The sequence below is a fragment of the Homo sapiens genome, chromosome 12 (genome assembly GCF_000001405.40).
Source record: "Homo sapiens chromosome 12, GRCh38.p14 Primary Assembly".
Lineage (NCBI taxonomy): Eukaryota > Metazoa > Chordata > Mammalia > Primates > Hominidae > Homo > Homo sapiens.
This window is the reverse complement of record NC_000012.12, coordinates 45,825,739-45,849,899: the sequence shown is the minus strand read 5'-3', so window position 1 is coordinate 45,849,899 and position 24,161 is coordinate 45,825,739. Positions and strand designations below refer to the sequence as shown.

General features: G+C 33.7%; 1 protein-coding gene and 1 long non-coding RNA gene across 4 annotated transcripts in view; one reads left to right on the top strand and one right to left on the bottom strand.

Moving 5' to 3' along the window:
- ARID2 (AT-rich interaction domain 2) overlaps window positions 1-24,161 on the bottom strand; it is a 178,332-nt gene that overhangs the window by 58,138 nt on the left and 96,033 nt on the right. For all 3 annotated transcript variants that reach the window (NM_152641.4, NM_001347839.2, XM_047428489.1), the window contains exons 7-14: window positions 13,245-13,311; window positions 12,909-13,159; window positions 12,483-12,579; window positions 12,193-12,402; window positions 10,404-10,571; window positions 2,963-3,044; window positions 930-1,064; window positions 124-320 (exon numbers count right to left, since the gene is read on the bottom strand). In NM_152641.4, coding sequence (NP_689854.2) covers window positions 124-320; window positions 930-1,064; window positions 2,963-3,044; window positions 10,404-10,571; window positions 12,193-12,402; window positions 12,483-12,579; window positions 12,909-13,159; window positions 13,245-13,311 — 1,207 coding nt within the window. The remainder of the gene's footprint in view (window positions 1-123; window positions 321-929; window positions 1,065-2,962; window positions 3,045-10,403; window positions 10,572-12,192; window positions 12,403-12,482; window positions 12,580-12,908; window positions 13,160-13,244; window positions 13,312-24,161) is intronic.
- On the top strand, window positions 254-24,000 carry LOC105369745 (uncharacterized). Its single transcript, XR_944892.3, has 4 exons — window positions 254-342; window positions 4,360-4,468; window positions 9,958-10,048; window positions 23,867-24,000. It is a non-coding gene; the product is annotated as an uncharacterized LOC105369745 (long non-coding RNA).

Sequence of the window (24,161 nt, the reverse complement as noted above, 5' to 3'; positions counted from 1 at the left end):
CCAAGTAAGAAAATGCTACTGGAGACACAAAAGTTATACATTTAAAATGCATAGAATATATATTTTTCATTCAGTTTTATTATTAAATCAGTAATACTTTAAAAATACAATAAAAATTAACACCTGCAGGTGAAGGAGCAGGAGATACATCAGGAACAGAATCAACACGAACAACAGAAGTAGAAACTGGTTGCTGCTGATAGTACATCTGAATGGGAAGTGGTATAGCCCTCCGTTTTACTCCTACCACATGAATATGTGCCTGCCCATTGCTACTGGAATCCTCCACTCTCTTCACTGTATGATTTGGAAAGACCGTTCTGTAAAGTACATACATAATCAGTAAGTTTTGATAACTATCACATTGACTTCTAACATTATGTTTACATGAACAACAGCAGTATGTTTACTGTTGCTTATGTATGAACCAGTATGACTCACAGTTATATTCTGCAAGGATGGAAAGCAAAGAAATATAAAAGATTAATCATCCCATTTAAAACATCATTATTTATTAACAATGTCGCTGGGTTTTAAACAATTCCACCCACATATAACTAATAAAAGATACCTATTTTTATGTACTTTGCAAAATATCAAAAAGTCTTTGTATTTGAAGATAATAATATTATATTCTATTATTCAAGATTAAAAAGATACAGTCATGTCTTTAACATGTAAAAGTAGGTAGGAAAAAGAAAGTAAACTTCATTTCTTTGATAAATCTCATAATGTTCCAACACAAACACTAGATGTGATTTCTGAAACTGCTTTTTATTTAAACCTCCACCACACTATAACCTATCCATACGAAACTTCTAGTAGTAGAAATATTTAAAACTAGATAAGATATTTGGTATTTTCTTTAAAGAGCAAGAGATGTTGTAAGTGACGTAAATGGACTTTATTTAAAGAACTATGGATCCTACCTAAGACATTTATAAAATCCAGTTGATGTTAGGATTCCACCACGAGCTAATTTACTGCAAGTCGAGAGGTATTCAGAATACATTTCTGCTCGAGAAACAGAACAATCTGGATTTACTTCAAAATGAGCATTTAGCCTAAAAGAGGAGAAAAATTAAGCATTATACAATATACTCTAGGAAACTCCATATTTAAATATACTAAAGCCATGTGGAGGCAATGTGTTAAAACTAATAATTATACCTACTAATCAAATTTCACTGACTCATACGTTAGTAGCAAAAATATATGCTAAATTTTAGATTAAATCAATAGATTAACATGCTTATTTTAGTATTAAAAATGACACTGACAACAAATATAAAAACTATGTTCACATCCCAATGAGAGCAGGGTTGGTCTGCTGACAACAAATGTTCTATAAGAAATAGTTTTATTTAGTGAATATCTATTCGGCATCCTGTCTTGTAATAATCATAACATAAAACAAGTTCCCAATTACGTGCTATTTGCATTGTAGCTGAAGAAAATGGGGGGAAACTGAACTAAGGTTAAACTTTCCTTGGCTCTTGGATCAAATTCCTTCAGAAAAAACTTATCCAAGCTTTTCAGCTACTTCCTAAAACAATGACACTTTCCATGCTGCACACTCCCATTTCCCCATTTCAAAACAGTTTTAATTTGTAATCCATTACAAACTAATTCAAACCTCATTTTGTCTTTTTCTTAAAATGACCTTTACCTATAAATTGGGATTGGAGGCCTGATTACCCTGATAGGCTCTTTCCATAACTCACTATGTATAATAGGCTAAACTTAGTTTTTCTGAAAAACTAAATCAAATAGTAATTATGATTTAAAAAAAAAACTGTAAAATGATTCTCTTCCCCCTCTCCAAGAAATAGCAGAAACGTGCAACTGGGATTTATAAGACCAAATCTATGCTTAACACATACACATTTTATAGTGGTTATGGTGTGTATTCTTTCCAACTTTCATAATCCTGTCTGTACTGAAATTTCAAAAAGACTAGATATAAAAACTTCATTTTGGTTGCAATGTAGAAGACAAACAACATTTCCAAATATTACTGGAAAAGATTCAAGTGTAAGGGGCCAATGTGTAAAAATATAGAAGGTGAGGAAAAAGCAAACAATTAGAGATATTTAAAACCATAAACCCGATTTAAGCAAAGTAGAAAAGTCTGGAGAAAACTGTCATAGGAACAAAAATGTATTGAAAGCACCAAAAATACGGAACAAAGAGTGACAGGAGCATGAAATGGGAGACAAATAATGTTAGTGAATGGCAGAAAAGTGATCAAGAAATTTTTAAAGTGATATATCATTGGAAAGTGATTGTGTAATTCAATCTGTTAATCTTCTAAAGAATTTAAGCCGAACTTCATACTAATGTTGAGGCAACTATCCATAACAAGTGAAATTTTTAAAACTCTTCATTTGCTTTTTTTCAGAAAGTGGTGCAGATAGGACTACACAATCTTTTCAAGGAAATATTATTGTCAAGCTGCTTATTTCTGTTCTATCATTTGATTAATGTCCGTCTACTATTACAAACCCAAAAATTATTAAAGAATAAGAAGTTTTGTTTTAGATGGAAGAGAAGAGACATTTTAAAACACCTGCTTTTATTTTCTTAAGGTCAGTCCAATTCAGTTTTAACAAAATGTTAATTTTAGAAGAACAAATTTTGTAACCTGACAAACTGTACTTTCTACAAAGTGAAAGATAACTTTTTAACACAAATTTTACTCTGAAAAAAGTTAAATGGTGTAATTTAATGACATTCTAGTCATACTATTTTAATTCTGAAAATTCTGATGAATATTTTTCTTTCAAATTATTCCAATATACAAGGGGATTTTAAAGTGTCCTTTCTTTGTGTAAATGATATTCTACTCTAACTAAAAAGGAATACAGAACAAAACATTCTGGATGTCTGTAGAATACATTTCCTTTTTTTCTTTGCTTTACTCCTCCCAAGGATAAATCCTTAATAGAAATAAACCACTTACCACTGACAAGCAAACTTCTCACTATCTATTTCCACTATTCCTGGAGGTGGAGCAACATGCTGCGCTACAACTGCTCTGGAAGCTAAAGAAAAAAATACATTAGCTACATCATTTCTTAAAAGTTAGTCACTATTTGCCATACTTTTTTTTATGGATATTGAACCCATTAACACAATGAATACCTTTTTAAAAGGTGTATAAACATATGAAAGTATACACATTTGAGAACAAACCTAATATATAATGGAGCACATATCATACCAGGCACTGTCTTAGAGGATTCATATGAACTATTTTGTTTAACCTCACAATCATTAAAATAATAACAATTAATATGGATGATTTAGTTAATATAACCTCTGTTATTCCCATGGGCAAGACACTGAACTAAATACTTTACAATATCTGCTTACTTAATTCTTCTGTGAGGTAGGTACAGATAAGAAAACTGAGACTCAAAGTGATTTAAAAAACTGGCCCAGGGTCATACAGTTCAACACGTAAGTTGAGCATCTTTCCGTTTAGCTACGGAAGCAGAACGCAGCTGAAATTATGGCTTCACTCCCTAATTTAAAAGATTAATAACTCTGTAAGTGGCATATATAAAATTTTTGGAATACAGTGAACAAAAGCTGAACTAATTTAAAGTCCCATATTCAAAAAAGGATTTCCATAATTTTTCTGGGGAAGAAAAAAAGAAGATATCTGTTGTAATAATAAATTTGAATTATACTTTTTTCCTGAAAGAGGCAACCTGGTTGTATACAAATGTACTAGCTATTAATCTTAAGACACATACTTTCTAAAGTTGCATCTATGACATATTCTAAAAGTTTCAAGGTCAATGAATAAATGAGTAAATCACCTATTATTTTCTAACATGTTGAAGAGATCTGTAGAAAAATGATGTATGTTACCTTTTCTTCTCCCCTATGTTATACAAAGGAACTAAGGAAAACATGAAAAGTATAAAGTCATATTATAAATTATAAGTCTGAATCATATATTTGTAAATAAAAATTAATTATCCTTTTTTCACTATTGATCAGCATTACTTTGTAGGTTTTTAGAAAACTTGCTATGTGACACGGCAATGTAGTTTTTAAGCACACAGATTATACACAATTTTTTTCAGATGATATTTTAGCAAAGCTTCTCAGAACCCTCAAACAGAACAAATGCATTTTAAAATTATTGGAACTAGGCAAGCTCCATAGTACAGCCAAATGTGTGAATGATCTGAGGCAATCATAACCTTTGATGAATGCCCCATGCTTTCTTTGAGGTAACAGCTAATTGTAGCCATTTAATAAACATATACTCTGTATAAATCCATTTATATTTACATTATATATTTTAATCTTTTAAGTCTAAGTTTAATTATACCTATTTTACAGATCAGAAAACTAAAGCTCAGAGATTAAGTTCAGCCAGGAACACGGTGGAGATAGCAGAGCTGGGTATACTTGGAAGGACTTCTTTTAAAAGTGTTGGATTTGAATCCAGGTCTGTCACATTTTAGAGGCCATACTATTATATGCTCCTTGAGATAATGCAACAGTTAGAACAAAAATAATTTTTCCTGTTGGCAATCCTAGCTTATCTTTTCTTCCCCTTCTAAGTTGACGATATTAATACAGAAAATACTTTCTAGGGCCTGAAACTGTGTAGAAATCTTCCTCCCTTTATCATCTCTACTATGAAAGAGCATACCCTACTTAGACTGAAATTTCCTGAATGAATTAGCAATCAATTTCATGAAACACTAGAAATTACGTTGAAATCATGAGAAGTCTTTATAAACAATGTAGAAAGAGGAATAAAATCACAAATGGGAATTTAAACTGGAAACATAATTACTATAAAAAGTAGCCACAAACTGAGGAGCACTGCCCTCAGGATACCTGAAGACATTCTAAATGAAGGTGCTTATACTTTGAATCAATTTCCAGATACTCAACTTTCTTATGTATTCTTCCTAAAACTGCTTTGCATGAGAATATCACCTCCTCTTTGATAATTTTTTCTCTCATTTTGGAATCAAATGACTTAATTCTCACCCATCTTTGATAGCTCTGCAGGATTATGCATTATGGTTAAATGCATAAATCCAGAGCCAGAGAATTCCATCACTCACTAGCTAGCTGTGTAACTATGAGCAAAATAACTCTGTCCATACAATGGAGGAAAGTAACAGTACACTAACCTCGTATGTTGCTATAAGGATTAGATTATGTGCAAGTCACTTAAAATAATGCCTAGCACAAAGTAAGCACTATATAAACGCTAGCTACTATTATTATTGTTATAGTGTAACGTGGAACACTAAAGAGAGAATTAGAAACATTAGTATCCATGAAGCCTCTTAACCAAGGTATTATTGGTATAGCTTCCTGTCAATACCAGTATTTTACATATTACAATTGAGGGCAAAGTTGGGCATTAGAAATTGGGTATTCTGGCCCCTTGGTTTGTTCTAAATTCAGATAAATTGTAGAGTAATGATAATTCTGCTTAATGCCCTTGCCTCCTTAACTACTGTCAAAGAATGCATTACTTCTTAGGCAGAATCCTGTGTAAACAAAGTACAGAAAATATTTTAAAGAAATATCAAAGGTGGGCCAGGCATGGTGGCTCATGCCTGTAATTCCAGCACTTTGGGAGGCCGAAGTGGGTGAATTGCTTGATCCCAGGAGTTTGAGACTGCCTGGGCAACATAGTGAAACCCCGTCCTTAGCCAGACTTGGTGGCATGTACTTGTAGTACCAACTACTCAGGAGCCTGAGGTAGGGGGATCGATTGAGCTCCCGAGCTCAACACTACAGTGAGCCAGGTTCTGATGGCGCCCCTGCACTGCAGTCTGGGTGACCGAGTGAGACCCTTTCTCAAAAAAAAGAAAGAGAGAAAGAAAGAAAAAGTATAGAAGGTGGTGGTATTTTATTTCATTCAGATTACGAACTCATGGCAAATTCAACTGTTAAAATTCTGAAGGAAAGAACGCGTCACACTAACATACTAACATACTTTCTTGAATTGAAAAACAACATTGGACTTTTTCTAAGTAACAAAAAGAGCCTGATTAAGCAAGAGACTTTTGTTAATAAAAACTATCTTTACTAGGTTACGTGGCAGACATTTTCCGAAAAATCAACTGAGGTAAATCTGCAGTGTCAAGGTTTTCACAAAAATATATTTGAAGTATATGATAAAAAGCACCTAAACATCAAATACATTGTAACGGTCTTGAAATGAACAATATTTCAATTTTCCCAACCCAGTAATCCTAAAAATACAGTCCCTGGACTGCAGCATCTGCATCTCATGAGAACTTGATAAAAATGAAAATTCTGTGACCAGCCTGGGCAACATGGTGAAATCTCATCTCTATTAAAAAAATACAAAAATTAGCTGGGTGTGGTGGTGGCCACCTGTAGTCCCAGTTACTCAGGAGGCTGAGGTGGGAGGATAGTCTTGAGCCCAGGTGGTAGAAGTTGCAGTGAGCTGAGATAGCACTCCAGCCTGGGCAAGAGTGAGACGCTGTCTTTAGAAAAAAAAAAAAAAAGAAGAAAACATCTCAGGTCCCACCTGATCCAGAAACTCAGGGAATGTAGCCCAGAAATCTTTAATAAGTCTATCACATGATTCTGATGTACCTAAGGTTTGAGAACCACTGTGCTAAAACTTCTTGAATATATCAGGTTACACAAGATACCTAAGTAAAACAGTAACAAGTATAATTTATACTCATATCTTGTTAATATCTTTTTGATATATTTTCCAGAAACTTAAAAAAAAAAGGCCTCTAATGACTGAGCCACAAATATTCTTGCAGTCAGGTACTTGCTAATTCTTTGATTTCAACAAAACAAAGGAGAACTCAAGTTTTCAGATGATTGTAAAAAATAAGTTTAATACTTTTTGGATAATTCTGAAGTTCAAAGAACTGTAAATTCTATCTTCATCTATTTAATAATGCAAACTAGATTTTTCAATTTACATCTATAAAAAGGGAAACAGGGATACTACTGATGCTAAATTCCAGTTTCATTCTAGCAGTAAGTAATAGTCATTGAGAGATATACTGAATTAATAGCATCTAGAGAATTAGAGGGGAGAGTCCTATTCATCTTATTAAGAGATACATTTCAAGTAAATTTTTGTTTAATAATTTTTTTTTTTTTTGAGATGGAGTCTTGGTCTGTCACCAAGCTGGAGTGCAGTGGCATGATCTCGGCTCACTGCAACCTCTGCCTCCCTGGTTCAAGCAATTCTCCTGCCTCAGCCTCCTGAGTAGCTGGGACTACAGGCGCACACCATCATGCCCAGATAATTTTTGTATTTTTAGTAGAGATGGGGTTTCACCATGTTGGCCAGGATGGTCTCAATCTCTTGACCTCAAGATCTGCCCGCCTTGGCCTCCCAAAGTGCTGGGATTATAGGCATGAGCCACTGTGCCCGGCCTTGTTTAATAATTATTTATAAAAATTTACAATGTATTTACTATTTGATGTACCATTTATTAATAAAACCTGTAATGATAAAATATATGTATGTGTGTTTTATATATGTGTGTGTATATATACACATATATACATATACATGTGTGTATATATATACATATACATGTGTGTATATATATACACACACATATGTGTGTGTATGTGTATATATGTATATACATATACGTATTTTTTTTTTTTTTTGAGATAGACCAGGTTCTTGCTCTACTGCCTAAGGTGGATCCAGTGACACATTCATAGCTCACTACAGCCTTTGACTCCCTGGGCCCAAGCTGGGACTACACGCATGCATCACCATGCTCAGCTAATTTTTTTCCTGATTTTGTAGAGATGGAATCTCACTATGTTGCCAGGCTGGTCTCAAACTCCTGGCCTCCAGTGATCCTTCTGCCTCAGCCTCCCAAAGTGCTGGGATTATAGGTGTAAGCCACAGTGCCTGGCCAAATGAAATTTTTAAAATTTAGAGCTTTAAAGAATAACAAGGAATTGAAAAACTTTAAAAATGTCTATTTTGTAACTAAAAAGTATTGACAGGGTGATGAATAAAAAAGAATCTCAAACATAAAATGTATTATATTAGGATAAAACTCTTGTGAGGATACTGGAATACAAGTTCAAGGTGAAAGAGGAATATTATAAAATTTCTGATGTTAAAGAGTTTGTGTATTTTAAAAAATGAATGATGGTATCAAGATTCCACTGCATACAAAAAGCACTGTAATTATTTTCTTTTAAAAATGTAGTTTAATATACATCAAGACAATACATACTTTGCAACTATTTAAATTATGATAGAGATTTAGATGTTAACCTAAAAATGGGTAAAAGGTTATAAAAGTTTTCAGAGGGATTGAGGGAAGTGAGCAAAAAGTTTAAAGATGGTAATTCCAAAAAAAGCAGCATTAAACTATGCAGGCAATAGCTAAACCACAAAGGATAACCAATCAAACAATTTAAAGTTGTCATTCAGGGAGAGCACAAGTAATAAAGTGCTCTCCAGCTGAAAATTAACTCTTTTCAATCCTGAGCAGTCTAGTCCCATCTCTATGAATGAATTAATTACTACATAAATGAATAAGCCACAAATTCTCAATGTTTAAATTCATTCATTTGCCAAATGAGGACCAAATTTTAGATTGAGAAGTAGGTTCATTTGCTGAGGTCAAAAGAACTGTGAAGGTCAAAGGCTAACCATGCAGCAAAAAATAGTCTTCATCAAATCACCCTTGAGTATTCACTGACATTTTATCAATTTCTCTAACACTGCTCCTTTATGTCCCTCAATTAATTTAATCTTTAGTTTCTTCTTTGATGGTAAAAAACATTCCCACCTCCCACTTAACTAGCAATATGAACAGTTTCATTTCTTTCTCAAGGTTGAGAAACCATTAATATTCTGACCAAAGATTCCCCAATATAAATCGGCTGTTTAACATCTATTACCTGTAGTTGAAAGCTCATTGAATAGACTGGCAGTCAAAATTATCTATTTTGTGCCTTCTGTTATTTGTCCACTTTTGTTAGGTGGATCCAAGTTAGTTGAGTGAACATATGACACAAATCTATACACTTCAGAAGGACATAATGGAAATCAATGAAATATGTGATACTTATTACATACTTTGCATAGAGTACATAATTTTCATACTACAAGTTGGAGTAGAAGACAAATTGGGACCATGAATGAACGTGAGAACAGATAGCTAGAGATGATGAGAGTTCAATCTCATTCATAAGCATTGGCAATTGAAAAGGCCAGGTATTTAGGAAGACTCAACAAGATCTGATGAATGGATGTGATGGCTAAAGATTAAGGATAATGAAATTTTTGGTTTGGGGCTAGCGAGGGAGGATAAGAGACCTAAACGCATTTCTAGCTGAAAGGAAAAAGTGAGTAAATAAAAAGAGATTTAAGATATGGGAACATGGAGATGGGAAAGACTGATATTCAGAGTAAGTTTCAGAAGAAATTAGCATCTCTTTCTGAAATGAGCAGAAGCTAAAGGAAAATGAGTCCAGATGCTAATAAGTTTGTAACTGAAGGAGTAAAAAATTGAAGAAATTCATTCTACACAGCCTCTGTATTAATTGCAAAGTGAGAATTAAGATCAATTGAGAACACGAGCATCCTCCATTCAAAAAATATAAAGAAAGATTAAGTGTCTTGGGGACAGCAGGAGGTGAGAGGATAGGAAATGGAAGGGTAGGTGAGATGAAATATGTATTTTTAGTATAAACCAAGGTAGAGAAAGCACTCCAAAAAAAGGTTAAGGGTGGTAAAATATAAAAAATGATGACTCATAATGAGCCAGTGGAAGGAGTTCAAGGACTGAAGTCTGGTTATTAGACATGTCTGTACTATAATTACAGTTGAGCTAAACAGAATTGAGCTAAGAGACACTAGGAAAGGTGCATAAATGCAGGTATACATGCTTGTAAGTGTGTGTATACATATGTGCATGTGTCTTCTCCTAGGCTGTTGATTCTGTGGTGTTGGTTCCAACACTTAAGGACATTAGAAGTATTATACTTACGCGTCCTGATGATCACCTGAGAAAATCATAAGGTAATATATGAATAATCTATTCCTGGCATGTCAATTTCCCATGACCAAAATCACAAATAATATGCCTATTGGGGCACTTATAGCTATCGTAATTATGAATATCTAATTCATCACATTACTCTAAATCCTGCCGAACTTAATTTTCCTATTATACTATTCTTCCTATGAGCTCACCTTGATCCTGCTACTCCTGGAATGTATAATATCTAAGAAATTAGAGTACATATCCAAATTCCACTTTGGCCTACTATACTGTAAAATATCAGTTCTCTATACTGCACATTGAAATTTATTCTTAGGATCAAATCTTATACACTCGTAACCACACTGAAAAAGAATATGTGAAAACACTAACCTGGGGCAGATGCTACATGAGTCTGGGTTTGGACTTGCTCTATAGCTTGTGGCCTAATTTCAGATAACATTTGATGACTGGAACTTGGGTGTTCAATGAGTTTTACCGCAGCTAGTGCATCAGGGCCAAACATCTGAATATCCATAGAAACCAGACACACTAACATGTCTAAAATAAATAAAAAGCAATAGTTATTAGTCAATAATATTATAAATGAATGCCATCACTGGTGAACACATGTTGTACAGAATACTTATCAATGTGAATAAATGCTAGTCCATGAATCACAGTACATCAGAATTACCTGTGCATCTTTAAAAAAAAAGATTTTTAGGCTGGGCGTGGCGGCTCACACCTGTAATCCCAGCACTTTGGGAGGCGGAGGCGGGCGGATCATGAGATCAGGAGATTGAGATCATCCTGGCTAACATGGTGAAGCCCCATCTCTACTAAAAATACAAAAAAAAAAAATTAGCCGGGCATGGTGCCTGTAGTCCCAGCTACTCGGAAGGCTGAGGCAGGAGAATGGCATGAACCCAGGAGGCGGAGCTTGCAGTGAGCCAAGATCAGGCCACTGCACTCCAGCCTGGGCGACAGAGTGAGATTCTGTCTCAAAAAAAAAAAAAAACAAAACATTTTTAGGCTCAATCTCTGAAGACTGATTTAATAGCTCTGGAGTGGGAGCTGGATATCTATATCTATATCTATCTATCTATCTATATATTTTTTTTTGAGAAAGGATCTTGTTCTGTCACCCAGGCTGGAGTGCTGGCACGATCACAGCTCACTGCAGCCTCAACCTCCCAGGCTCAAGTGATCCTCCCACATCAGCCTCCCAAGCAGCTGGGAACTACAGGCATGCACCACTACATCTGGTTAATTTTATTTATTTTTCGTACAGATGAGATCTCACTATGTTGCCCAGGGTAATCTTGAACTGTGCTCAGGTGATTTTCCTGCCTTGGCCTCCCAAAGTGCTGGGATTACAGGTGTGAGCCACCATGCCCAGCAGTGGATATCTATATACTTGAAAAGATTCTCAAGTGATTCTGATGTGTAGCCAGATTTAAGAATCACTGATATGAAAAGTGACACATTAACTTCTCAATAAGAACAGTTTTCAAGCTGAATCTTTATTAACTCTGATTTTAATATTTATTATACCTAAGAAAGATATCATTTTAATCACCAAGTAAAACGTTAACATGGCATGTGTTAGTAAGTATATTTAAAACTGATAGCTCTTATGGAGGTGACTTCAATGATTTTTAAAGATTGCAGCACTACCAGCAACTTCTAGGAACAGAAGGAAACATATTTCACTTAGCTTTAATTGTTTAACAGTAGTAGCTGGCCATATGAAACAGAAAGACCTGCTCTCAGATAAGTTAGATATAGCAGTTTTGTCCATTTCAAATTTAATACGTAACAACAGAAATTAAGAGAAGAAATAGGAATTACTGATAGCCATGTAATCCTGGTTTCTAAATTATAGATGCTTCTTGCTCATTGAGCTACGCTTCTTCCAGAGTTGTATATTTCAAATTTAATAAAAATAAAAAATAAACAAGACAATGTTGCATAACGTTAAAGAATGTAATTATTGTAAAAATAGCCATCACTGAATTTAAAGCATAATAAAGAATAATGGAAACAAGTATGCCTGAGGAGGTAATGACTCTTCAAAATAAAACACTAAACCTCAAATATAAATTGAGGGTTTTGTACAGTACCATATTAAACACTTTTACTCAATAAAGAAAATAAGTGTTTTTTGGTCCAGTCTTACCTATGCTCTTTTCTACTTTTGCAATTTTTGTGCAAGCAACATCTCCCATTTCCGTGAGCATGTATAGCACCTCGAGTGTTGAGATTACAAGCAGCACATCAGGTAAAGTGAGATGACAAATGATCTCTCTGTAGGAATCCTGATCCACATATTCACAAATTAAAACACCATTATCTTCTGCTTTGCAAAGATTTCCCAAAATTTCCATGCCTGAAAAACATACAAATATGTATTACTAAGAAATGATAGTTTGTTTACTTTAGAAAGTAAATACTTCAGTGAAAACTCACCTCTCATCTTTAAAAATCTATCCCTTGACATTAGACATTTTGTAACAGTATGAAACATCAGATGAGTAGTTTTGAAATCAACAGGGTCCAGTAAAAGCTGGAAAAAGAAACAACACTATTATTGAGCTATGCTTCTTCCAGAGTTGTATACTTCAAATTTAATAAAAATAAAAAATAAACAGGACAATGTTGCATAACGTTAAAAAATGTTATTGTAAAAATAGCCATTTCTGAATTTAAAGCATCATTTCAAATACTTTTTTCCATAAAAGTATGTGATACTTCTACATCACCATTTTTAGCAACTAATACATGTAAGCATTTAATAGTCTATAAATATGGCAACTATAAAATGCCACATCCTAAAATTGTAACATAAATGTTGCTAACTATAAAAACTAGTTTAAGGTACAGTCACATGCTTACCTCAGCTGCAATATTTCCTAATGTGTCAAGGCCTAATTGCCTTAAAGAAATAAAATGACTATGTGCAGAAAGTAATAGGAAACGAAGACAGGTACGATTAGCTGCCAAGAGCTTAACATTGCCCTCCTCAAAGGAAAGATTTCTCAAAATCACTGCAATCTGAAGTACCCGCTGTCCTTCAATATCGTTAATGCCCAGCTTTCGAGGTGGATGAAATAAAGACTCCCAAATCCATTCTCCTGATGTACCTTCTACAATAGAAAATACATATTTCACTTAATATTTCATTTATTAATACTTCAAAGGTTTTGAAAAATTTTGCTTTCACTAACTTACCATGAGACTTGTTTCTGTCAGAAATGAGGTCACGAACTTCATTATCATCAACGATGTCTTTCCAAAACTGTAATGATAAATTATTTAATTCTCCATGATTTGAAACAACTATTCTATTGCTTTAGAAATAGTCACACACAGGCTAGGTATGGTGGCTCATGCCTGTAATCCCAGCACTTTAAGAGGCCAAGATGGGAGGATTACTTGCAGCTGGGAGTTTGAGACCTGCCTGGGCAGCAAAGAGACACCCCATCTCTACAAACTAGAAAATTTAAAACATTAGCCAGGAGTGGTGGCATGTGCCTGAAGTCCCAGCTACTTGGGAGGCTGAGGCAGGAGGATCACTTGAGGCCTGGAATTGAAGGCTGCAGGGAGCTGTGATTGTGCCACTGCACTCCAGCCTGGGCGGAAGAGTGAGACCCCATCTCAAAATTAAATTTAAAAATAAGTTTTAAAAAATAGTCACACAATATGAAAATAATGTTTCTACTTATTTTTAGTTCATGTGGATATTGCTACATTCTAGGGAATTAATTCTTTGATGTAAATATTTGATTGTCTATAGTTTCAGATACTTATATAAAAAGGCATCTTTTTATGTTTAGGGCTTTTTAACCTGAGGGCCACAGACGACTAAAGGGACTGTGAAAGAAATCAGAAATCTGTGAACTTGGATGGGGGAAAAATGACATCTCTATGTACATTAAACACTACTGGAAATTTGACATTTCTTTTTTGTTTTTGTTTTTTTTTTTGAGATGGAGTTTCGCTCTTTTCACCCAGGCTGGAGTGCAATGGCACCATCTCGGCTCACTGCAACCTCCACCTCCCGGGTTCAAGTGATTCCCCTACCTCAGCCTCCCGAGTAGCTGGAATTATAGGCACGCGCCACCACGCCCAACTAATTTTTGTATTTTTAGTAGAGATGGGGTTTCACCATGTTGGCCAGGATGGTCTCAATCTCTTGACCTTGTGATCCGCCTGCCTCTGCCTCCCAAAGTGCTGGGATTACAGGCATGAGCCACAGCGCCCGGCCTGGAAATCTGACATTTCTTTAGAATTTCTTCAACTCTGAATATTAAGCAATGAACTATAGTAATATTAGCAGTATCTGTGACATTATGTGTATATTTCAAAACAACTGGGTTTTTTTTTTGGAATCAAAGTTCTTAGGCATTTAAAACCATTAGTTGGAAAAAGGCTTACTGGCTTCATGTGATCATCAAAGAAATCCATTGCACAAAAAATCTATGACAAACAATGTTTGGTAGCAATAAAAAAGAAGTAGGCACATTTTTTTAAAAGACAATGTTCAATAACCAAGAAAGAAGGGCCACAAGAATTCAGATATTAAAGATATCAGACACAAAACTTAAAATGACAATGAATAGTAAGTTCAAAGAAATAAAAAACTAAAAATTTTGGCAAAGGAATTAAAACTATATGAAAGAACTAAAAAGAAATTCTACAACTGAAAAACATAACTAAAATTAAGAATTCAGTGGATATGTTTAAGAACTGATTAGATACAACCCAAGAGTGAATTTATGAGCAAGAAGAGAGGGCAAGTAAATAAGTTTGAAGTATAAAGAGACAAAAGGATGAAGAGAAAAAAAGTGTATGAGACATAAGGCACACAGTGAAAAGTTCTAACATACAAATAATTGGAGTTCCTGAAGAAGAGAAAGAATGGGCAGACAGAATATGTGACAATGTAAGGGCAGAAAATTATTCTAAAATAACTGAAAAATGTTAACCTATATATTTCAGAAGCACTACAAACTCCAAGAAAGATAAAAAAAGAAAAAAGCTGTGGAAACGTCATCATAAAACTCCTGAAGAACAAAGAGAAAAATCACAATGGGATATTTTCAAAATGATGGAAGAAAATATCTGCCAACGTATTTCTTTTCATTGAGACGGAATCTCGCTCTATCACCCAGGCTAGAGTGCAATGGCGTGATCTCAGCTCACTGCAACCTTTGCCTCCCAGGTTCAAGCGATTCTGCCTCAACCTCCCAAGTAGCTGGGATTATAGGTGCGTGCCACCATGCCCAACTAATTTTTGTACTTTTAGGAGAGATGGGGTTTCACCATGTTGGTCAGGCTGGTCGTGAAGTCCTAACCTCAGGTGATCCGCCCATCTCGGCCTCCCAAAGTGCTGGGATTACATGGGATTACAGGCGTGAGCCACTGTACCCAGCCTGCCAACATAGAATTTTTTAAATAGTGAAACTGTTCCTCAAGAATGAAAGTGACATAAAAACATTTTCTGACAAATAAAAAACAGAAAAGCTCATTATCTACAATCTAAGGAAGAATAAATGATAAAGGTAACTGTGGTTAAGCCAAATTAAAACACTTTCAAAAAGTCATGGGGTAGAAAAAAAAAAAAGGTAAATTTAAAATTTAGAAAAATACTTTCAAGTGACTATTTATTTAGGCCATATGGAGTATGGTACTGGAGTAGTCATCCTACCAAAACCCAACATGTATGAAAAAACTGTTTTCAGAGATTGGAAAAAAGGTAATGCAAGACTGTAATCACTGAACAAGAGAAACAAATGAGGTTATTCCAATGATTGACTGGTATTTTTATTTGGACATTAATTCTAGACTAAAGCATAAGGAAGAGAAACCCAAGATATCATAGTGATTGCTAAGCTGAAAACACTGAACAGAGCACAGCAAAGCTAAGGAGGCTAGAATATGAGAGCAAATTTTCAATAAGGGAAGAGTTATGCAGAGAAAGAGCTCCATGAATCTACATACATATACTTTGAGTTCATTGCTAAGTATTAAGTTACACAGATGTATGCTCAAACTCCACAATGCTAGTCAAAAAACTGGAGAGAACAATTATAAGAGGCTGTAATTAAACAATTCCTAGAATAGAGAAAACTCATATACACCTAGCTCTTTCAGGAGAAATTCCCAAAATGTCATACCTAAGTAGAAGGAATAAACAAGCCCTAGAGTAAAGGCTAATCTACATATGTCATAAAGCTTTAAAACAACCCTACTCTGATAATCCATATATGAACTAACAGCCTGCTAAAACAAAGTTCAACATTCTGGAAAAATGCCAAAGTTCAGACACTCAACAATGTCACACTCACACAACACTCACATCTAATAAAAAATTACCACACCTACAAAGAAATGAGGACCCATAACCAAGACAAAAATCAGTTTCAAGAAAAATAAGATAGTGAAATAACAAAGATAACAAGAAAATTAACAATGACATTAAAAAACTATTAAGTATGTTCAGTGATATAAAAATATGAACATAATTAGCAAATAAATGGATAATATAGGACAATCAAATAAAATTTCTTGAGCTGGAAAATGTAATACAGATGTTCCTTGACTTATGATGGGGTTATGTCCCAATAAACCCATAGTAAGTCTAAAACATCGTAATGCATTTAATACCCCCAATAAAACCATAGTAAAGTCAAAAAAACTAAGTTTATCATAACTTGGGGACCATCTGTATCTGCAAATAAAGAAAATATACAAGATTTGCTTAACTAGAAAAGATGAATGCATAACAATAGAAAATATCCACAATTAAGTACACAGAAAACAAAAAAGGTCTAAAAATACTGAAAAGAGCTTCAGTGACCTGTGGAACACCCCCATGATCTAATATACATATTCAGTCATCCCTCAGTATCTGTGGGGACTGGTTCTAGGACTCTCCAAAGATATCAAATTTTCCACATGCTCAAGTTCCTCATATAAAATGGTATAGCAGTATAGTATTTGCATATAACCTACAAACATCCTCCTGTGTACTTTAAATACAGTATACCTAATACAGTGTAACGTGAAGTAAATAGTTGTTGCACTGTCTTCTTTTAATTTTTTAGTTTTATTACTTTTTACTGTTTTTTAAATTGCTTTTTTCCCCAAATATTTTCAATCTGTGATTGGTTAAATCTATGGATGCAGAACCCATGGATTCAGAGACCAGACTGTAAATGTAGTACCAGGAAAAGAAGAGGGGTCTGGGTGTGGTGGTGGATGCCTATAGTCCCAGCTACTTGGGAGGCTGAGGCAGGAGGATTGCTTGAACTCACGTGTTCAAGGTTGCAGTGAGCTATAATTGTACCACTGCACTCCAGCCTGGGTAGCGAAGCAAGACCCTGTCTCTAAAACAAACAAAACAAAAAAAACAAGAGGGGAAAGAAAAATATTGGAAGAAGTGATTGTGAAAAACTCTCCAAATTTTACGTAAGATACCAAACCACAGATCCAAGAAACTAAATGAACCCCAAGTAAAATAAGCAATGAAACTGCAAGGCATATCATAACCAAATTAAATATCAGTAATAAAGAGAACATATTAAAAGTAGTGAGAGTCTACAATACATATACAAGAGCAATAAGAAAAAAGTTGACTTCTTGTCAATAAGAATGCTATCTTTAAAGTGCTCAGACAAAACCCTAAAACCTACAGTTTTATATGCATCAAAAATATCCTTGAAACATGAAGGCAAAATAAAATTTTTAGATAAATAAAAGTTGAGAGCCTAAACTCAACTACATCATTAATTTCCTAAAGTGTAAATGGGCTTAATGCACTGACTTAAAGGCAGAAATCACAGAAAAGGCAGACTGTGGGGAGGAGGAAAATAAGTGCTAACTATATGGTATCTAAAGAAACGCTATGTATAAAAACACAGAAAAAAACTATAAAGATGGGAAAAATATATTATGACAACATAATAAGAAAGCTGTAGCTAAGTTTCATACATAATGTTTTTTAAAAGTTAATTCATCATGAAAATATATCAACTGTAAATGTGTATGCAACTAACAACAGAGGTTCAAAAGACGTAAGGTAAAAACTGACAGAACTGAAAGGATATATAAACATTCATAATTACAGTTGATGATTTCAACATTCACATCTCAGGAAATTGTAGAACAACTGAACTGAACTCATGGAGATGGAGAGTAGAATGATGGTTACCAGAGGCTGGGGCAAAGTAGGAATGGTTAATAGGTACAAAAATATAGCTGGACAGAATGAATAAGATTTAGTATCTGATAGCAAAACAGAGTGACTACAATAATTTATAGTATGTTTAAAAATAACTAAAAATGTATAAGTGGAATGTTTATAGCACAAAGAAATGATGTTTGAGGTGAAGAATACCCCATTTACCCTGATGTGATCATTAAACACTGTATACCTATTTCAAAATATCTCCTGTATCCCTAAATATATGAACCTACTACATATCCATAACAATTAAAAACTTAAATAAATAACCCACGTAGAGGAAATCACAGTGGAAATGAGAAGATACTCAGTTGTAATGAACGCATGACATATCAAATTGGTAGAATAAAGTTAAGCTGTGCTTAGAGGTAATTTTGTGGTCTTAATTGTATGTATTAGAATGTACATATTAAAAAAATAAAAACAACAATCAATCGTGTAAGCACCAGCTCTAATTCCTAACAAGTTAGAAAAAGTGCAGCAATAGAAAGATATATGAAAAGCAGAAATTAATGAAAACACATACAACAGCAGGAAACATCTAATCTTCCTCAATTATATTTGTGTTTTCTTCTAATGCCTTTTTTTTTTTTTTTGACAGAGTCTCGTTCTGTCACTAGTGGCATGATCTCGGCTCACTGCAACCTCTGCCTCCTGGGCTCAAGTGATTCTCCTGCCTCAGCCTCCTGAGTAGCTGGGATTGCAGGTGCCCGCCAAAATGCCCAGCTAATTTTTTTGTATTTTTAGTAGAGATGGGCTTTTGCCATGTTGGCCAGGCTGGTCTCAAACTCCTGACCTCAAATGATCTGCCCACCTGAGCTTCCCAAAGTCAAAGTGTTGGGATTATAGGCGTGAGCCACCGTGCCCAGCCATTTGTGTTTTCTTGATTTCATGTGATTAGTGATTATACTGATAACTGCCACTCCCCATTGTGACTGGGTATTTATTTAAACACTTTGTGCAATTTACACTTTCATCACTAATTTTCTGGAGTTAAAAAAAAAAGTATATAATTCTATAACCAAATGGTTTCGCTCTTGATGCAGTGTAGTGAGGACAGAATATAGGACCCTGGGTCAGTTTATGAAGTGGGGAATTAGGAATGCAGCTCTGTATCATGGTGAAAACTTTGAAGATCTAATACCTTCAAAGAAAAGGAGGCAAAAGGGCTTGACTGTCTCTACCGTAGTTTTGGGTTAAAAATAATGCCCCAAATTTTGTACCACTGGCCTACTCCCCAATCTCCATTGATTTGGTTTTAGTAACTACTCGAGTTACCCGAAAATCAATGAAGAAATTAATACAGTCATTCTGAACCAGTATTTCTCTGTAGATGATTGGCAATTGCAATAGAGTAGTGGAAGAATGAACTTTCAATCCAATCTGTACAAAAACCCTACAAAAACTGGTCTGCTGAAATTTGTAACCAATATTATAAAACAGAAGGGAATATTCCACCATGGAATAAGTAAAATTAGTCACAACAGCTTTAGATATTAGAACAATCAAGTGTATTTAATTTTTAATTTACATATTATATATTTATATATTTTGTTTCTATATATTTATATAATTCAAATTAATTTATTAAAAGATTTTTAAAAATCTTCAAAATTATTAAAAACATAAAAAAGAAGATCAAAAGGGCAAATCTAAAATAGGATGGAGAGAATTTCTAGAAATTAAAACATGATCACTAAAATAGAAATTTAACAAATAAGTCAAGCAGCATATTAGGCACAGCTGAAAATGATTAAGGAACAAGCCTAAGGAAATTACCCAGAATGCTGCTCAGAATTAAGAGAAGGTCAGAAATTGATTAAAAAAAAAAAAAAAAGAAGAAGAAAGATAACCTAGAAGAAAAGGCAGAAAACAATAGAATGACAATAATACAAGAAAAATATAACTTATAATCTACAATCTATAAATGGAACATGGACAAAAATAAAGACAAGATAACCTAGAAGAAAACGCAAAAAACAACAGAATGACAATAATACAATAAAAATATAACTTATAATCTACAATCTATAAATGGAACATGGACAAAAATAAGGACAATTATAAAACTCAGAATTTTATCAATAAAATATCTTCATTGAAAGATCTAGTTAAAGATGTGTTATACTGTGAAAAAAACACATACTCAGAAGGGAGATGAAATACACAAGAAAGAATGAGGACAGAAAAATAAGATTAAAAGATCTGCTTTCTGGGGTTTTAAATTGCATAGAGGTATAAAAACAAAAATAACATTTTTAGCAATGAGCTACACATAAAAATAGGAAAATAAATATTTTCTCTAATTAGAAAACACAAATTTTTACTGAAATGTAGTAGGAAGAATTTCAGTTTCTTGACTAAAAATCTGGTACTTTCAAGCCCTAACGGGGCAAATAAACCAATGAAAAAGAATCTAGAAAAAGATCTATACATATATGATTGGTGGATTTATGACAATGGTGATACTGCAACACAGTTTTTAAAACAAATATTGTAGGTTCAAGTGGGTATCCATATGAGGGAAAAAAACCAAATCTTTACTCCTGGCTTATACCACATACACAAAAACACAATAAAAATTATAGATCTAAGTGTGAAAAGTAAAACAGAAAAAAACACATTCTGTTTTTGACCTCATGGTTGGCAAAATTTTGTAACTAGAACTAAAAAATGGCCAACTTCCAGAAAAATTGATGTTAAACTACATTAAAATTAAGTTATGTAAGTTCATCAAAAGACACCATTCAAGAATGAAAAGGCAAGCTAGAGAGAAAATATTTCCAACATCTTAAAAAGAAATTTTATCCAAAATATAGAAAAAAAACTCTTACAAATCAAAAAGATAATTATTTAAAAATGGACAAAATATAGGCACTGCCTAAAAGAAGCTATCAAAATTGCCAAAGGTATTCTAGTTCTCATCAAACAAGAAAAAATGTAAATTAAAACCAAGCTACAGTAACAATGCACACTCACTGTAATAGTTAAAATGAAAGAGACTGACAATACCAAATACTGTCAACAACGAGGAACTGGAACCGACATACTACTGCTGAGAAGGTAAAACTGTACAACTGCTTTGAAACATGTTTGGTAGTATCTACCAAAGCTGAATACAGATATGCATACCCTATGACCTAGCAATTAACACTCCTAGGTCAATTACCCAACAAAAATGCATGCATATATTTACCAAAATGCATATATAAAACCCTTCATAGCAAAATTATTTGTGTCCAACCTGGAAATAACTAAATCCTTATTGCTTTTTACAGTAGAACAAATTGCTGCATATTCATGCAATGTAACATTATACAACAATAGAAATGAATGAAATACAAATACTTGCAACGATATGCATGAAACTTTCACAAACATGATGTTGAACAAAAGAAAAAAAGAGAAGTAGAATAAGGAAGAAAGGTTAACAGATAAGGGAGTGAATGAAGAAGTGACTGAAAGGGGGAATGAATAGGCGTACTTCAGAGGTGTTGATAATGTTCTAATTCTTCATCTGGGTAACGATTACATGAGTGTATTCACTTTATAAACACATCTTGAGGTGTATACTTATGTATGTGTTATACATATACACTAAGTATGTGTTATAATTTAAAAAGTACTTATAGGAGTCCAAAAAAGATAATATATTAAATTACAAAGTCAATGCATCCTGAAGCTTAGTTTTAATACATATAATAATACGATTAACATATCTTTTGTCATTAATTAAAATTTTCTGTTAACTGCATATTCACAGCTGAAACAGGCACATTTGTCTGCTACTACTTTTCCTTTTGTTTACCATGGTCCTGCACATAAGCATACTTTCTATACCTCAAACTAAATTTGTTCTTACCTCAGAACATTTGCATTTGCTATTCCCTCTGTCAGAAAGACTCTTCCTCTGCAGTGCTGGTCACCTATTATCATTCAAACCTACTAAAAATCATCAGATATTACCTCCTGAGGGAAGCCTTTCTGGTCATATTATCTAACGTTACCATACACTCACATGTCTTATAACTCTCTATCACATTGTCTTGCTTTATTTTCTTCACAATACTTGCAAAAGCCTCAAATAACATTGTTTACTTTTATTGTCTGTTTTCCTATCATAGAATGGAAATTTGCTGAGAGGGGAGACCTTGTTTTCCCAGTGTCTGGAAAAGTATTGGCACACAGAAAATAGTAAATATTTTTTAAATAAATGAATTAATGTACAAAATATTTTACCAAATAAATTAGTTCAAGTATTTTTTTCTCTGAAATAAGGTGACTTAAAGCTATTAATCCGATAATTCTTATCAGATATTATCAGATAAATGTCATAAACATTTTAACTAATTATACAATATTTTATGTAGCAATAGGCCTAGCTATTTTGGGCTACAAACTTAATTCTGGATAACAATATGAAAAGTGTAACTTTACCACAAAATTCAGTTAAGATGGTATACTTCTTGTGAAGGATCTAGTATACTCTTTGACTTGCAAATTTGTCTTGGAGTTAACTTAAGAAAAAACGTTTTTTATACTTGTGGGCCTGGATGTGAGTACGTACATCCCAGGTAGGTTGATAATAAGAAGAAATGGAAACAATCTAAATTTCTGAAAATATGGATTATTTACATGAATTATGAAATGTGTAATATGAATGAAGTAGCCATTAAAATACTAAACATTAAGGATGAGAAGAAAATCTAACATTGTAATAAGTGAAAAGAACAGGTTACAAATTAAATTCTGAATAAAACTTTTGCTTTAAATAATATGCATAGAAAAGACTCGATAGATGTATATAAGGATATTAATGGTGTTTATTTCTGAATGGGTGTGATTAATAATGGTTTTAATATCTGCCCTTTGCTGTAAATTCTAGCTTTTCCACAGCATGCATCAATTACTTCTATAAGGGAGCAGACAGGGTGGTTCATGCTTATAATCCCAGCACTCTGGGAGGCCGAGGCAGGAGGACTGCTTGAGAACAGGAGTTTGAGACTACCTTGAGGAACATATCAAGACTCTATCTCTACAAAAAAATAAAAAATAAGTTAGCCAAGCATGGTGGCAGGAGTCTGTAATCTTAGCTACTTGGGAGCCTGAGGCAGGAGGATCCCTTGGGCCGAGGACATTGCAATGAACTACAATGGCACCACTGGACTCTAGCCTGGGTGATAAGAGTAAGACTGTCTCAAAGAAAAATAAATAAATAAAAAATAAAGACTAACCTCTGTAAAACCAGGAAAACATTTCTCTCTCTCTCTCTTTTCCCACTATTTAACTATTAATTCAAATATTACCAGCTCGTTAAAATAAAATTCATGTATACATCTCTGAAGAGACATTATAGGTTCCTATTTGTTGAAATACTTTACAGTGGAACTGTTTTGTAAAAAAACTGTGTAAACAGAAAAATGATAAAGAGAACTACGTAAAGTGTTTAATATATAGTCTATATTAACTTTTAATTCAAGTAAAAATATGTTTATGATAGAAAAACAAATCTACATGACAACTAATACTTAATATAAAATTATTTTTATATAAGCCATTGATGCTAAATGCCTAACTATAACTCTTTAATTTTATCTCTTCTTAGGTAAAGAAAAAGTTCCATTATAAAAGAAAAATGCCCTAGTGGGAATATACGTTAGAAACCAAGCCTGTAAGGATTTTCTAACTATTTAAACATCTAAAATCTACAAAAAATTCAATAAATCATACTGATCTACATGAAAGTTTCCAGAAAGTCTTTTTTTTTTCCCCTTAAAGACAGGGTCTCACTCTGTTACTCATGGTGGAGTGCAGTGGTACAATCATAGCTCACTACAGTGTCTAACTCCAGAGCTCAAGCAATCCTTCTGCCTCAGCCTCCCAAGTAGCTGGAACTACAA